The sequence below is a fragment of the Homo sapiens genome, chromosome 5, assembly GCF_000001405.40.
Source record: "Homo sapiens chromosome 5, GRCh38.p14 Primary Assembly".
Taxonomy (NCBI): domain Eukaryota; kingdom Metazoa; phylum Chordata; class Mammalia; order Primates; family Hominidae; genus Homo; species Homo sapiens.
In genome coordinates, this window is record NC_000005.10 from 122265839 (window position 1) to 122269338 (window position 3500).

Below are 3500 nucleotides of genomic sequence, written 5' to 3' on the forward strand. Positions count from 1 at the left end.
TGTCAGTGGTGTTCTGGATTTTGGCAATTCTTGTAGATGTAAGTGGTATCTCATTGCTGCTTTAATTTGCAATTCCCTAATGACATATGATGTGAAGTATCTTTTCATATCCTCATTTGGCATCTGTATATCATCTTTGTGAGGTGCCTCTTCAGGTCTTTTGCCCATTTTAAAATCAGGTTATTCTTTTTGTCATTGTTGAGTTTTAAGAGTTCTTCGTGTGTTTTAGATAACAGTCCTTTCAGACATGTATTTTGCATATCTGTGTCTTTGCAGGCTATGACAAATCTTCTCATTTCCTTTATAGTAATTTTTAAGGCAAGAGACATCATTTCTTAACTAGAATTAATTCTTTCATAAAGTTTAGCTTTATTGATTAGCACTAAATATATGTCATATAAGTACATGAAGTGTTAAAAATGTCTTTTAAACTATCTTTTTATTACTTAAGAAAAAGAAGCATACTCTGAATATGCTAGGTATTTTTGTATATGTATTACATAGCCATTGCTTGCTTATATATAAAAGTATTCATTCATTCAACAGCATTTATTACCAAGCAATTTCCCTGTGCTAAGGACTTGGAATACTAGAGTCATAAGACCCAATCTCTGTCATCAAGTCTACTTAGGAAGGTAACTGTAAAATAAAATACAGTGTAATACAGTAGATGTTAGCACAAGCAGTATATACAAGAATAAAAAGACTTCTAGAAAGAAGTATTTATGGATGACTTTCCAGACAAGGTGACTTCTGAGCTGGATTTGAAAGTACATATGGGAGTTTCACAGATTTGGAGTGGGGAGCAATTGGAGAAAGACAGACATTTCAGAATGAGATGTAGTAGAATTTAAGATATTATGATTAGGATCATGGCGGGCAGTAGTCTGGGCTAGATTGCAGCTCTGGACAGAGCAGCCAGTGGCTCATATTGTGAATTTTAGCTTCAGATCAACTGCAAGAAAAAACCAGCAATCCCGAGAGGACCCACAGACCCTCTGAAGGAAGCAGACTGCTCCTGCAGGACCTAGGAGACCCCCCAAAACTGTGAGTGCCCCAACTGCGGAAGTGGGAAAGGGAGAGCCTTCACTCCCAGACACACACCCCCACTGGAGAAGCTGAAGGTCTGTTTGCAGGAGAAGTTTTCGTCTTTACCTGTAGTGGAGTCAATTTGGAGAGCTGAGTGAAATACAGGGGTAGAGGAAGCAGCAGAAAGGCCCTGGGAGCTTGCTGGGTCCCCTAGCAGGCCACTCCTGCCTGGCACCACAGGGATCCAACACGAGAGGAACAGGGGGTAAAACTCCACAGCGAGAAGGAAATCTTTAGCTGAAATTTGCAACAATTTGAATGGGGTGAGAAACCTACTGGCCAGAACTCAGGGGAGTGTGCAAATCCAGTGTGCAGACTCCACAAGCTGGGGAAGAACCAAGCCCTTTCCTTTCACAGTTGGAAGGCAGATAGCCTGGGGCAGGTTTTCAAGCCTGTATTGCTCTCTGCTTGGAAACTGTCTGGGTGCTGTAGCAGGGAGAGAACGGTGGGAGTGAGACCAGCCCTTCAGTTTGCGTGGGAGCTGGGCGAGGCCTGTGACTGGTGGCTTTCTCTCACTTCCCTGACAACCTGCGTGACTCAGCAGAGGCAGCCATAATCCTCCTAGATACAAAACTCCCGTGACCTGGGAATCTTATCCCCATACCCCACAGCAATCACAGCAAGATCCGCCCAAGGAGAGTCTGAGCTCAGATGGTCCTTCCCTACCCACCTTGGTAGCAGAAAAACCAGAGCATATAATCGTGGGAGTTCTAGGGCCCCATCCATTGCCAGTTCCTTCCCATAATACCACAGCTGATGCTTTCTGGAAATCAGCACCTCCTAGGAGGAGATTATCCAGCATAAAAATAGAACATTAAACCACCAAAGCTAAGAACCCTCATGGAGTCCACCGCACCCCCCTCTGCCAGAACAGGCACTGGTGTCCACAGCTGAGAGACCCTTTCACATCACAGGATGCTTTGCAGACAACCCCCAGTACCAGCCCAGAGCTGGGTAGGCTTGCTGGGTGACTAGACCCAGAAGATAGACAACAATCACTACAGTTTGGCTCACAGAAAGCCACATCCATAGGAAGAGGGTGAGAGTACTACATCAAGGGAACACCCCATGGGACAAAAGAATCTGAACAACAGCCTTCAGCCCTAAACCTTCCCTCTGACAGAGCCTACCCAAATGAGAAGGAACTAGAAAACCAACCCTGGTAATATGACAAAACAAGGCTCTTCAACAATCCCAAAAAATCACACTAGTTCACCAGCAATGGATCCAAATCAAGAAGAAACCCCTGATTTACCTGAAAAAGAATTCAGGAGGTTAGTTATTAAGCTAATCAGGGAGGGACCAGAAAAAGGCAAAGCCCAATGCAAGGAAATTTAAAATATGATACAAGAAGTGAAAGGAGAAATATTCAAGGAAATAGATAGCTTAAAGAAAAAAACAATAAAAAATTCAGGAAACTTGGGACACACTTTTAGAAATGTGAAATTCTCTGGAAAGTCAGCAATAGAATTGAACAAGCAGAAGAAAGAAATTCAGAGCTTGAAGACAAGGTCTTCAAATTAACCCAATCCAAAAAAGATAAAGAAAAAAGAATAAGAAAATATGAACAAAGCCTCCAAGAAGTCTGAGATTATGTTAAACAATTAAACCTAAATCAGTGTTCCTGAGGAAGAAGAGAATTCTAAAAGCTTGGAAAACATATTTGGGGGAATAATCGAGGAAACCTTCCGCAGCCTTTCTAGAGACCTAGACATCCAAATACAAGAAGCACAAAGAACACCCAGGAAATTCATCACAAAAAGATCTTTGCTTAGAACATTGTCATCAGGTTATCCAAAGTTAAGACGAAGGAAAGAATCTTAAGAGCTGTGAGACAGAAGCACCAGGTGACCTATAAAGGAAAACCTATCAGATTAATAGCAGATTTCTCAGCAGAAACCCTACAAGCTAGAAGGGACTGGGGTCCTATCTTCAGCCTCCTCAAACAAAACAATTATCAGCCAGGAATTTTGTATGCAGTGAAAATAAGCATCATACATGAAGGAAAGATCTAGTCTTTTTCAGACAAACAAATGCTAAGAGAATTCGCCATTACCAAGCCACCACTGCAAGAACTGCTAAAAGGAGCTCTAAATCTTGAAACAAATCCTGGAAACACATCAAAAGAGAACCTCTTTAAAGCACAGATCACACAGGACCTATAAAACAAAAATACAAGTTAAAAAGCAAAAACAAAAAACCAAAGTTCACAGGCAACAAAGACACGATGAACGCAACAGTACCTCACATTTTAATATGAACATTGAATGTAAATGTCCTAAATATTCCACTTAAATACAGAACTGCAGAATGGATACAGAACTGCAGAATGGATAAGAACACACCAACCATCTGCTGCCTTCAGGAGACTCACCTAGCACACAAGGATTCACATAAACTTAAAGTAAAGG

General features: G+C 41.6%; 1 annotated feature.

Annotated features, from left to right (window-relative positions):
- Positions 835-2034: an enhancer, noted in NCBI's record as "MED14-independent group 3 enhancer chr5:121602368-121603567 (GRCh37/hg19 assembly coordinates)". NCBI's record gives its function as "activates an origin of replication core promoter dependent on BRD2, BRD4, P300/CBP and CDK7 cofactors, and independent of MED14, by STARR-seq in HCT116 cells {active_cell/tissue: HCT116}" and the evidence as "EXISTENCE:reporter gene assay evidence [ECO:0000049][PMID:35650434]".